This window comes from Homo sapiens, chromosome 5 (assembly GCF_000001405.40).
Source record: "Homo sapiens chromosome 5, GRCh38.p14 Primary Assembly".
Lineage (NCBI taxonomy): Eukaryota > Metazoa > Chordata > Mammalia > Primates > Hominidae > Homo > Homo sapiens.
In genome coordinates, this window is record NC_000005.10 from 119,574,191 (window position 1) to 119,587,788 (window position 13,598).

Genomic DNA, 13,598 nt, shown 5'->3' on the forward strand with positions numbered 1-13,598 from the left:
GGTTTTTGGTTACATGGATGAGTTCTATAGTGGTGAATTCTGAGATTTTAGTGCACCCAGCACCCAAGCAATGTATGCTGTACCCAATACGTAGTCTTTTATCCCTCAGCACCCTCCCAACATCCCCATGCTGAGTCCCCAAAGTCCATTATATTACTCTGTATGTCTTTGCTTCCTTATAGCTTAGCTCCCACTTAGAAGTGAGAACATAAGGTACTTGGTTTTCCATTCCTGTGTTACTTCACTTAGAATAATGGCCTCCAACTCCATCCAAGTTGCTGCAAAAGCCATTAATTCATTCCTTTTCATGGCTGAATAGTATTCTATGGTGTTATATACCACATTTTCTTTATCCATACCTTGGCTGCTGGGCACTTAAGTTGTTTTCACATCTTTGCCATTGCAAATTGTGCTGCTATAAACATGAGTGTACATGTGTCTTTTTAATATAATGACTTCTTTTCCTTTGGGTAGATACCCCCAGTAGTGGGATTGCTGGGTTGAATGGCAGATCTACTTTTAGTTCCAGAAAGGATTTTTTTTTTAAATAAAGATTACCCATGACTACTACCTGAGCTATCTTACATACAGGATTAGACACAAGGTAATCAATACATAATTTTGCTTCATGACCAAAATAACAGTGCCTCATACAAAATGTCCTTTGTGCCAAGGACTGTAACAGAGCCTAAGTTATATTTTAAGTGTACTTGTAAGTGGCTTGAAATGAGAAGGGATAAATCAAGTTGGCTATAAAGGGGACATGAGTCTCAGCCTTATCTTCTCTCAGTCTTAGCCTTATCCTTACTCCTGTCATTCTGCAGTCCCCATTTCAGGCATGAGCTCATTGAGGACACGTTGTAGCCTCTCTGAATTGTTCACAAGCTATTAAAGTATTTGCAGTGGTGAAAGCTAATATCAGACACTTCACCTCCCTATGATTTTGGAGATGTTTTAAGATGTGCAGGGACTTACTGAATTGCTAATTAGTGTTGAACTCTTAAAAAGCTTGTGCTACAGAGGAATCATGACCTGGTGAGCAGTTTTATCTGCCTTTAGAAAGCATGATTATATTTTTCCTCATTAGGCTTTCATCTGAGTCAGAAATTTTACAATAATAATAATAATAATAATAATAATAATAATATACTTCTGAACCTAAGAAAGAAAGTACTGGCTTAAGAAAGAAAGGGGAAAAGAGTGATTCTGGGAAACACCAAGACACAGACCTGACTAATGGTAATCAAGTTGATAACATGAAAAGGGAATTTATTCGATGAGAGTAAATAAAATTTTGTATCAAAATGAAGCATATAAAATTAAATACAGATGGTTGATTACCATCAAATTGTTGAATTTCAGTAGAGGCAGTTTCCATTAGTAGAAATCACATTTTTATCTCCGTACCAGCTCATAGACAACATTAATGGTAGAAAAGAGTAATGGGGTTTTTAGTCCTTCACCCTTGAATCAGTTATATTACAGGTCCATGGTTGGGAATCTGATGGCATAAGGATTAAATATGAAACCCCTCTTGCATATCATTATACACGTAATGTTGTTCTTCACATTCAGGTTGATTCATATGGTAATGTAAGGAATTCCAACTGGAATATGGACTTTTATGAATGTTTTTCTTCATCAGTGAAACCAGCCCTTATTAAGTGGCTGTGATGTGGGTAATGGGTAAGAATGTTCTCTCCCTTTCTCCAAGGAAAAATTCATGTGAACAATAGTAAGCTATTTGACTACAGGTTAACATCAGAATAAAAAGGATACAAAAGTAAAGGCAAATAAACAAGAAAACCTGACTTCAAGCCAAACTCTAAGCTTTTGAAAATGAGAGCCTTTTTGTATAAAGGAGAAACCATATCTAAAACTAAAAATATCACTTTGTAGATGCTTTGCCTTTGGGATATGGGGCACTTAATTTTCTAAAATGACTTTTTTCTTTCTATGTATATTAAATGCTGAAATAATTATTCCTTCTGGAGCATCCTTTTAGGCTGAATTGATTCCCTATCATGACTGCTCTGAAATAGTGAACACACAAATTGTTTTTTAGAAGGCTGGATATAATATCAGACATGGACTAAGAAAGGCTTCCTCAATTCTTCATATGTCCACTTTGTGACTTACTCTTCTCATCATGTGCTTTAGAAATGAAACATAAATCAGATTTTCATGTCATTTTTATAAACAATAGTCTTTTGAATCTTTTTAAATAAAATACATGCTTTCTGCTACTAGATGTCTAGAAAAAAAATGGAGTAATGTTTCTTCCTTGGAGCTCTAGTAAAGATTCTTTTATGTTAATGTTCTTTTTAACAAATGAAGCTTCAGGGTAAAAGTCCATTCAGCAACACCAATAGGAAATAAATGACAAGCAACAAACCATAATTAGAAATGTAGTCAAAAAACAAGGCTAGCTCTTAACTGAGAGCTGGTTTTTAACCTTGTAGAACATAAACACACACATATATATTTGCCATGTATAGTTATATCTATATCTATCTATCCATATCCATATCCCTCTCTCTATATATATAATACACACACACATACATATATAGTTATATATATATGCACACATACATATATAGTTATACACACACACAGACACACACACATGCACACACACATATATAGTTATCCAACTAGGTAAAGATACCTTTACCTTTTCCCATAGCAGGCCAAAATATTTGTGCTTTAGAGTACGGGATCAAAACCTTCATTATAGTTAAGCAATGAGAATATAAAAGATTTAGACATTGGAAGGCAGGAAGTGGGATAAAAATTGAAGGGAAGAGGGTCTAATATTTCAACAATAAGCCAAGTGTTTCTATATATTATACGATCTTCAAGGCAATGCTTTAGGGATAATATCTCCATTTTATAGATGAAGTATAGAGGGATCAAGAATAGCCTCAAGATCATGGACTAAAAATAGGGATTTATTGAAGAAATCTGTAGCAAAGGCACGTCTTTGGCAGCACTGGGACAGCAAAATCCAGGGAATGCTGGATACAGGTATCTGAGTGTGGTTGAGTGTGGTGGGTGGGGACTGAATATCAAACTGGAACCTCCTGATTAGAAGAAACTGAGGCACATAGAAGAAGAGTGCATCTTTGCATGTGAGGCTTGGAGATGAAAAGAGACACCTGGAGCCTGATTATGTACCAAATGTCTGAGTTGGAAGTGACTGCAGAGATCACCATGTCGGTTTCTGGGCCACTGCAGGTGTTGCTTCTCTCTGACCAGGCTGAGTGAATGTCCTCTTCCCTGGGGTGAGGTCACTACTACTTGGGAGCTGCTCCCTCCCAAGATAGCTGGGTCAGAAAGTCCTTCTTTGACTGAGTTGAAATCTACTTCCCTGGGGGTGTTCCCTGAGAACATGAACAGATTGAGCTACTATGGGAAGGCGAACATCAACTGGCTGGGAAGAAACAGGGACTTCAGAATTTGAGGGCATAGGTTACCCACCAAGTGCCAAGAAGGTGCTGGCTGCTACACAACAGGTACTTGAAGCAGATGGAGGACGACCAAGACAGTAAGGGGTCTTGACTGGAGGGGTCAAAGGGCAGCTGGGCTAGCTTTTTCACGTACAGTGGCTGTTGCTGGGTAGCACATGATATTAATGTGCTGGGAAAAATATCCACACAAACCAGAGGCTGTTATACTGATGTCATTTCTATATCAGCCCATGTATGGGAAGTCCTCCAAGACAGATTTAATCTAGGAATTAATTTATCCAAGAATATACATGCTCTCTGTGAAGAAAAGTTTAAAATATAAATAAAGGACATAGTAGATAATCTGAATAAATAGACATTTCATGCTCTTGGATAAGATGACTTATGCAATAAGGGTTATTCTTCTATAATCTTTAGTTTAACCCCAATAAAAATTCCAGTTGGACATTTTTGATGATGGCATTTATTATAAAATTTTACAGAATAATGAAAGTCAAAAAATAGCAAACCAATCTTTTTTTCTATTGTGGTGAACAAGAGATCTACCTTCTTATCAAAATTGTAAGTGTCCAGTACAATGTTGCTAACCTAAGCACAATGTTGTACAGCAGATCTCTAGAGTTTTTTCGTAGTAAGCCAGTTTTGAAAAAAGAAGAGTATATGGGGTAACTTTCCCTTGAAGGTATTAAGACATACTACAAAGCAGCCATGGTACACAATAAAAACAGTGTGATATTGGTGCAAGGACAGTCAAATAGGTCACTGAAACTGAATAGAGAGCTCAACAATGAATTCATATTGATTGGAAATTTATATAATAGGAAGGTGGTACCATAAGTCAACAGTGAGAGGAAGGATTTTGTAGTAAATGCTAATAGAAAAACAGGCTCATTAAATGGAGTAAAAAAGATTGATCTTATCATAACACCACATTATAAAAGTGGATTCTAGATGAATTAAAGATCTAAATGTAAAACTTAAAACCATACAGTTAATTAAAGAAAAATGTAGGATAATATCTTTGTGACTTTAAGATGGGGAAAGATTTAGTAAATAATAATTCAAATGTAAAATCCATAAGAAAGAAAAGTTGATTTTGATTATATCTGGGCAATGTTATTACAAAGATTAGAATGTCAGTAGTCTGTAAGTAAAGTTTCTAATGCCAACAAAGGACTAATACCTAGAACACACAGATAACTAAAATAACAAGAAAAAGGTAGAAATCCTAGTGGAAAACGGCAAAGTATATGAAAAGAAAATTTACATACTACGTACAAAATTTCTACAAGAAAGTATGCAAATAAAAGAATGCTAGGGTTTGGTTTGTTCGACCCCTCTAAATCTCATGTTGAAATTTGTTATCCAGTGTTGGAGGTGGGGCCTAGTGGGAGGTGTCTGGGTTATGAGGGCAGATGCTTTATAAATAGATTAATGACCTCCAGGGGGCAGAGTGAGTGAGTTCTCACTGTTCTCCTGAGAGCTGGTAGTTAAAAAGAGCATGGCACCTCTCCTTGTTCACCACGTGATTTCTGCATGCACCAACTCTCCTTTTCCACCACTAGTGGAAGCAGCCTGAAGCCCTCACCAGAAGCAGAAGCTTGCATCTGCTTCTTGTGTAGCCTGCAGAACTGTGAGCCAAATAAACTTCTTTTTAAAAAATAAATTATCCAGCCTCATGTATTCCTCTATAGCAACACAGACTAATACAAATAATATACATTGTTACCTATGAAGAGGAAAGAATATGCTAGTGGGGCATAGAGATTTAACAAATATGCATGTGAAAAAACAAAGTAAGTAATGAATAAATAAGAAAGGGGTTCTGCATGAACCAAAGAACTGAGTCCCACTAATTGAGGAGTATAATTGCCTTACCCTTCTCCAATGGAGACACAAAAACAAAAGAAGAAAAGAGATGAAGCTGTATATGTCTCTTTCAAGCTTCAGGCCCACCCACCTCTTCCTAGTTTTATCTCTTTAGGCCATTTAAACATCTCCTTGTTAGATAATTAGGTAACCCCAGAGGCTGTTCTGATGATTACCTGAATTAATGTATAAAGACATCTGTCACTGAGTATATACTCAAATACTGGTTTCCTCTTCCTCATTTTAATATTTTCTTTTTCATCTGCCTTTCACCTAGTAGTTCTTTATTTGAAATCTTTCAAAACCCTTCACCATTGTGTTCATTCTCCCCTGTTTTTTTCTTTCTCTTTTGAAGTATGGTCACCTTAGTACCCTACTGAAAGTATGTTTCTGATGCGTCCCTCTTCTGGAGATGGCACATCTGTGAATGCAGGCTGGGAAGACATGGGTGGTTTCAGCAGCCACGTCGCCACCCACCCAGCCTCCATCCCTACCCTGGAAATCTATCGTGTAACTCTGCTGCTAAAGCCCTTTCTCTCCTATCCTCTCTTGGTGAGTTGTTTCTTAGCCCTGAGTAAAATATAGGATGTAGATATCTGTTAGATTTTTATTAAATTTGACCTCAGATTTGCCCTCAGACTGTTCATTGTGTTATCAAAAAATTTCCTCCAGGTTTGTATCATTTCCAAATTTGATAAATGTATCATGTAGATTTCTTGGGCCGAGCTAGGAAAAAATTGGCGAAAGTTACAGAAAAGCAGGTTTAGCCACAACATAAGGAAAACCTTTAGTAATGAGAATGATTTTAGAATGGTCTTTAAAAGGAATTAATTTTTAGGAGGGTAGTCAATTCCTTGTCACCAGAAGTGCCCATGATGTAGCTGCTGGATCAAGGCAGGCATTGGAGTCCAGTGGATCTTATCCCTCCCTCACCTATATTGCTAGTTTTTAAAAAACTTCCCAAGGCTTGCCCCTTAGCCTAAAATATTTTTATTTCATTGATCTGGCATGGAACCAGACATCAGATTTCTTTTTTAAAGCTCCCAGGTGAATACAATATGGCCCCATTGCTGAGAACATCTGTTGTAAAAAGTACCGTTGACGCCTAGGTTGGGAAAGTTGGGTCTGACAACCTAAAGTTTTTCCTTTTGCCTTATGAGATTATGTATTTTAACTTCCTATCTGGTAGAAAGATGGGTGCTTAGTGCCTTTTTATGCTGACCTTTCCTCCTTGTGTTTTCTTCAAACCAAGCTTTCTCCCCTGTGTCCACACCGGAGCTGTCTTTGTCAAAGGTAGTGTGTACTTTTACTTTTGGCTGCTGAAATATTGTTCTCACTTTGAGATCAATTGCCTTAAAGTGCTTTGTTAACCCCTCAAACGGGAAATCGCAGCACTTTCTCCAAAGGGACAATTTTCTGTAGAAGAAGCTATTTAAATAGCAGCACAAGATTGAAGACAACACATTTAACTGTGAAAAGGTCATCCTCAGTAGTCTTAAGAATAAGGTGGGTTTTGTTTTTTTTTTTCTGTTCTGTATGTTGAACTGGTTTAGAAAACTCCAGATTCTTGTTAACTTTGACAATTGGAAAAGCCATTAAGGGATGATTACAAGACCTTCCATCTATAGGCACTTGTTAATTATCTGCATCCTGCAGGGAAGAGAATGAAGTTGGGAGGAAAAGGGAACAAAGAACAGGGAAAAAAGAACAGAGAGAAATCAGCTGCAGAACTCCAACTTGAAGTCCTCTCATCAGCATTGGCTTCTTGTTTTTCTGCAGAGCGAACTTTTCATGAAATTTGAGTCCTGAGGTGCCTCTTTGTCCTTTCAGACTCACTATCTGCTCTTTCTGCCTTTTTAACTCCCCCGAGGGTAGATGGGCAGGCTGCTCTCCTGTGACACAGTGCCATTTTTTAGAGTTAATTCTTATGTCTTTTGCTTCCTTTCAGGAAAATGTTCATTGCTTGACATTGTAACAGGCTCCTTAAATACCTGTGAAAGGGTAAAGTTCACTAAAACAGAATCCATTGCTTCTGGTTGAATAGCAATAATACTTGATTCAAAATCTTAACCTTCCAACTATTAAAATGTTAAATGTAAACAGACTCTTATGTTGCCTTAAATAAATGCCTTCCTTAAAAAACAAAAACAAAAACAACTGTTTCTCAAATTAATTTTCCCAGATTCATAGATTTCTCTCCTTAACCTGATAATTGGCCAAACAGTATTTACTCCTAAATACTGTTTCTAAATTCTTGTGTTCAGCGCACTGGGATGCATGAGGGTATATTTTTTAAGGCACAAAGAAAATTTGTTTGCCTGTGATCTCACTAATAGGTGTTTATTGCCCTCCTGGAGCCACAGTTGCTGTGTCATCTCAAGGCTGGAATTCTGGATGAAGAGGAGGAGCTTTTTTGGGGTAGAACCTGAAGGATGGGGATGGGGCATTCATTTATTCATAAAATTATATGCTCTCCTTGGACATATAGAAAAAATCGTAAGTTCATGTTTATGCAGATAATTTTTAATTCATATGCTTTTTTGGGAACATAAAAAATGATGCATATATAAAACAAAAAGAAGTACCATGCCTCAACTGCATGCTTTCAGAACGTTGGCTGATGTGTAGTGTCAAGCAGGCTTCTCGATAAAAAAAAAAACAACAATGAACAGAATCGGTGAGGAATTTTAGTTTTGGCTTAGCTCTTCTTGACACCCAAAGATTTCACTTTAGAAGTCTGACCCCCAAAAGGGCTAGGGATAGGTAAGTGCTCACTGCTCCAGGAAGTTCTTCTAACTCTTCCGGGACCCTTTTGAATTGTTTGCATGATTGTAGGAACCAGGCTTAAAGAATTTCCCAACCAAGAGTCAGTGCTCTGTGGCCTGGTGGAGGTTGACAATGTTGACATGACCAGGTGTGACCACCTCCCTTCAATCTCCTGGAAGCCTTCCCTCAGTGTATGGTCCAGGCACCATTACTTAGCCTGGAGGAATGGAGACCATTGCAACTAGAAGGAATCTTGGTGTCTTGGCCAGTAAGAGGCTCTCAGACCAGCACAGCCACCTGATCTTTGGGTCCTGGCTGCCTGAAAATTTTGGTTCAATTAAAAAATGACCAAACAAGAGCGTGCATATAAACTAGCTCCTGTTGTATAGCTGGCTGCTGCCAGGATTCATGTTACAGATGGGATGGAAATGAGTTTTGTTAATTACATAATTTTGAACTATTTAATTCAGCTAAAATTATACCAGACCCATTTGATGAATAGATTGTGAATATGAATAAGCTTTGGTATGCATTTGTCTTATATTTGAGTAAAATTCCATATTTATATGCCAATCACCGATCTTCTCTAACTATGACTATCATCAGTTCAAGCAGCCCTCCTACTTGTGTTTTTATTTTCATAAGACCTGCTACTTACAAAATTGTCAGTGCCTCTGATCTAGACTATGGTTGTCTAGGACCTGCTTGTCCTCAGATACTTTTCTTGTTTTTTCCCTGCTGTGTTTTTTCACAAAGGGGCTGAGCCATGAAGGCTGTTGTTTATCAAATTCCTGTGTTAGCTGGATTCTCACTTAGTGTAGCCAGTAGGAGGCACTGGTTAGAGATTGGAGGGAGGCTGGGATACAGCAGAAGGGAGAAGCCAGGGTATTTCTCCTTCTTCCTTTCTGCCTTGGGCTGATTCTCTGGCAGCAGGCACATTAATCCCGTGGCTCCAACTCCCATTGTACAGGCCCAGCATGGGTCAAGCCTTTGTTGGATGATTGAATCTCCTGAACTCCAGCAATACCACCTTCCCTCTTTGTTCTCCAGCCTAGTGGTTGTAGTGGCTTCCTTTTGTAGGTAATGTCTGAGTTACTGCATCATCCCATTTGGCTCTCAGCTTTTCTGTAACCTGTGTAACTCATTCTGTGCATTAAATTCCCTGTTATAAATACTTTCAGTGGTACATAATCCAACCTCCTCATTTTATAAAGAAAAAATATGAAGATCAGAGCAATTAAAGTATGCCTCCTAAAGCTATCTGGAAGTCAGATTTCTAGCAATTTCAATCACTGACAACACATTTAAACACCCAGGAGTAAGAAAACTGTAACATCTTTAATGGGAGTAGCTAGCAAAAATTCTTGCACTAATACTAATTCATCAACCCCTGTAAGCCGACCTTCATTCAGCCTGTTATTTCTGTTTTTGCAAGAAATTACTTAAGTTGCTGTCACAACTAAGTTCTCCTGGGAAACTGGTGTTCATATTTGCCTAGTTGCAGCATTACTCACATGCTATTATTCACTGCATAGAGCCTTCATAGCCCGGAATGATGGATGCATCTCCCCAGACACCTAATTTACTATTAACTAGAGACTCAGTGGAAAGAATCTGGGTCAATAATTCGTAGAAGCACAGAGAACTGAAACCCCAATACCTAGAACTAAACAAATTAGGGGTTTATTTTTTCTTGCACAATAGGAAGCCAGAGATGGGGGTTGCTGGCAGTAATTTCAGCTCAAGGATGGAAGTCAGCTCAGGGCTGAGACCTTCATGGTGGTGGTAGCCCTGGCTATGGAGGTGTGCTGTTTGGATCTTCCTTCAAGGAAGAATTTGCCATCTTGAGAGCCCCCAAATTCAGTGCCTTCAGAATCTGCCTCAGCTTTTGATCCAAGGCTACACTTTTTTTCAGGTAGCTCCCAAGCAATGGCAGAGCATGCAGGGGACACTTGGGCATGGCCATGGCCATTTCTGCCCAATGCAGACCTCCTCTAATGGGCAACCTTTGCTCTGGAGGTTGCTATTGGGCTTGCTGAAATTTTGTTAGATGTGCATCATTGTTCAAGGCTCCTCCTGCTCAATATTGTCTCCTTCCGCTTTTCTTTTCATAAAGGTGTATGGCAGATGAACCTGACAGCAATAACATAAGTGTATCCCAAGAATGACACTGTATGGCAGATGAACCTGACAGCAACAAGTTAAGCATACCCTGAGAATGACCATATGGTCTAAGAAGAATGCATATTCAGAGTTGGGAGCTACAGAATCTGGGTGTGGCCAACCTGGAGATTCATTCCTTGTCTATGAGGGACATCTGAGCCTTCAGCCCATCCTGTGGAATGCAGGCAATACAGGGGACCAAGGCCCATTGTTTTAGATTAAATGAAGATTTCCAAGTGGAGGTTGCTAAGTGAAAATGCTGTATAAATTGCATGCTTTTAATAAGTGGTTGCAGTTCTCCTCTCCAGCCCACTGCCACTGGACCACCCCTGTATGTAAGTTTCCTCAACAAACCCTATGTATTCTTCACTGGCTCTAGGTCTCTTCTTGGGCCTCTTAAACATGGTGCGGTTTCTGCTGAAGTCATAGGGGTCCAGCATGTCAAAGCGTCAAATCAGCATTGTAATCTAAAGACTTTTCTCACCCAATCCTATTCCACATCCCTACTCCCACCTTGCTTTTTGCCTCTACAGTCACAATAAAGCTCTCCCAGTCTTACTTCTGACTCAGTGTTTGCTTCCTGGAGGTTCCCACTGGCAGTTCTTCTCTTGGCCCTTTCTTAGTGGTCTACTTGAGGTTGCAAATGGCTGTCCCACCTCCAGCATCTCAGCACTGTACCCATGTTTCCAGCAAACAGTGGTACTATCAGCTAATTCTGCTCTTCTTGTAGAGATTCTTCCTGCTTTCATTTCTTAGCCAGAGCTGCGTTGCATAACTCCAGCATCCACAAGTGGGACTGGAAAATATTTTTTGTTGGGTTGTTTCAGCTGAACATATTGTGGTCCCTATGAAATGGAATTCTGTTACTAAGAGAGAAGAAAAGAATAGTCAGTGGGCAATTGGTAGTTTCTACCCGCTTTATTTTCATTTATGGAAAATCTTGAGTTTATGTGCTTGTTGATAATATAGATGGTAACCAGGCATGAAGAGACAGCTGACCATCTGCCTTTTGGTATAATTTGGGGAGGGATTTCTGCCTCTGGAAAGGGGAGGAGAGAAAAAAAAGATGAGGCTTACCATTAAGCACATCCGTATGGTTGGAATCTCTAGTCTAAGCTAGTATTTGCATTTAACAGATAAGGAAACTATTATCAAATAACAGATAAGGGAGATTAAGCATTCTTTTACAAGTACGCCTACAAAGTACACATTCTAAATGCTTAGGATTAATAGTAAACAAAACAGTTAAAAATTTCCACCCCAAGGGGCTTAAGGACTCACCCACAGGGGCAGGATTGAAACTGGAAGCCAGGTGTCTTAAATGCCATTGCTATATTGTTGGGGTCAAAAAGACTGTAACTTTAAGGTTGCTTGGAATTCAAATGAGGTAAATATTATGATTGAAAGACATTAGTGTTTTGTCTGCTTTGGGAGGTATTGGGAGATTCCGGAACAATCTTTGTCTTAAGAATCTGACCAAACTCTACATCAAATGACAGTTCAATAATACCTGCTGGCCACCTCCCTTTCCCCCAACCCTGTCTTCTCTTCAACAATTCTTGGGTTTTTCTTTCTTTTTTTAAAATTTTACTTTTAGTTCTGGGATACAAGTTCAGAATGTGCAGGTTTCTTACATAGGTATACATGTGCCATGGTGGTTTGCTGCACCTGTCAACTGTCTTGTAGGTTTTAAGCCCTGTTTGCATTAGATATTTGTCTTAATGCTCTCCCTCCCCTTCCCCGCCACCCCTCCAACAGGCCCTGGTGTGTGATGTTCCCCTCCCTGTGTACATGGGTTCTCATTGTTCAACTCCCACTTATGAGTGAGAACATATGGTTTTTGCTTTTCTGTTCCTGTGTTAGTTTGCTGAGAACGATGGCTTCTAGCTTCATCCGTGTCCCTGCAAAGGACATGAACTCATTCTTTTTTATGGCTGCATAGTATTCTATGGTGTATAGGGTTTTTCTTTGCTGTTTAAATAGAAGAGAGCCAGAACAGACAGAGTAAGTCCTCATCTCTCCTCCCAAATAATACTGGAATAGAAAATAATCCATTTGGATGAAAATAGGTAGGTAGCCAGTTGTTTAGAAGTATGCCTTAAGTTGCCATTGACAAATTACTGACATTGACAAGTTATTTTTGAACAAAATGCAAAAAAAAGTAATGAGAACAGTTTTGAACATCCAAATTTAAATGTTCATAACAAAAAAAAGTTTTATTGTTCACATTCATTTTGGAAAAAGATGTATCTTTTCTTATGATGCTGCCATTAATTAAAACACTTTGGAATTCCTTCTGTCCTACTGATTTCAAAGCAGTTTATAAGACTTACATGAAATTTGGTGACTTTACTTTATAGGGAAACTACAGTTGATCAAAATACCATTTCTTGGAAAGATCATTTATCTTATTTGCCAGATCTGGCTCTGAATGTCTTTGTCTATTTTCCAAATAAAATCAAACTATTGATGATGAAAATTTCTCACCACTTAGAAGATTTAAAAGTCTATGTCAGAAACTAAAGGTGATTTTTTAAAAGGTGTTCAAAATATTTTGAGTAATGTCAGGATTGTGAGACTAAGGTCACAGATTCCCCAGGCATCTACTTGGAAAATGTATAACCCTTTCTTTTGGCATATATTGTTCTGCTTATTCCATGAATAGTTGAAATACATATTCAGGCATCTTTATCCAAATCTAAGCAAATATTTTGGATATACAATTTTTGAATAGTGGTAGCCTATATCTCATTATTTTAAATGGGGGAAATTATAAAGTATTTCTAGCTCACCCCAAAACACACGAACAATGACAAAATCATTCTGTGTACATATGAAAAACAGTAAAGCTTTCTGGGACCAACCACAATTGCAAATGTCTTTTAAAATTTTTCATGCTTACAAAAAATCATAGATTTGGCAGATGAAAACAAATGCATGCCAAGCATATGTCTTTTACATGTTTATTCTTCACGTGCCTCATTATTCACCTCTTTCTTCTAATATATGGGCTTTCCCACATCTCTTAGACTTACCTGCTTTATTCAAAGACCTTTATACTTTTCTATTCTTTCAATAAACTTTTTCTTTTAGTGATGTAGGGGAGGTGAAAGTGATAATGCACAAAACTTTTAATCAAAAAATGCGTAAATCGCAAACCTGTCTGGAGAACAGTTGAGACTAAGGCTTTTCACTTTTCACTAAGGCTTTTTCGAGACACTAAAATGTTTTTTCTGGCATGCATATGCAGATTCATTGAAGTAATTTTTCACTTGGAGAGTAAATTTTGAGTGAACACTTTTTTAAGTTGTTAGAGTAGATATTCCA

At 38.2% G+C, this 13,598-nt stretch overlaps 1 long non-coding RNA gene across 1 annotated transcript, besides 1 other annotated feature; it reads left to right on the plus strand.

Annotated features, from left to right (window-relative positions):
- Positions 5,022-5,091: an enhancer, noted in NCBI's record as "active region_22991". NCBI's record gives its function as "activates an Ori minimal core promoter by ATAC-STARR-seq in GM12878 lymphoblastoid cells {active_cell/tissue: GM12878}" and the evidence as "EXISTENCE:reporter gene assay evidence [ECO:0000049][PMID:35858748]".
- LOC107986444 (uncharacterized) lies at positions 5,154-10,829 on the plus strand. The gene is made up of 3 exons (XR_001742859.2): positions 5,154-5,894; positions 6,595-7,838; positions 10,225-10,829. It is a non-coding gene; the product is annotated as an uncharacterized LOC107986444 (long non-coding RNA).
- Positions 10,830-13,598: the final 2,769 nt, after the last annotated feature.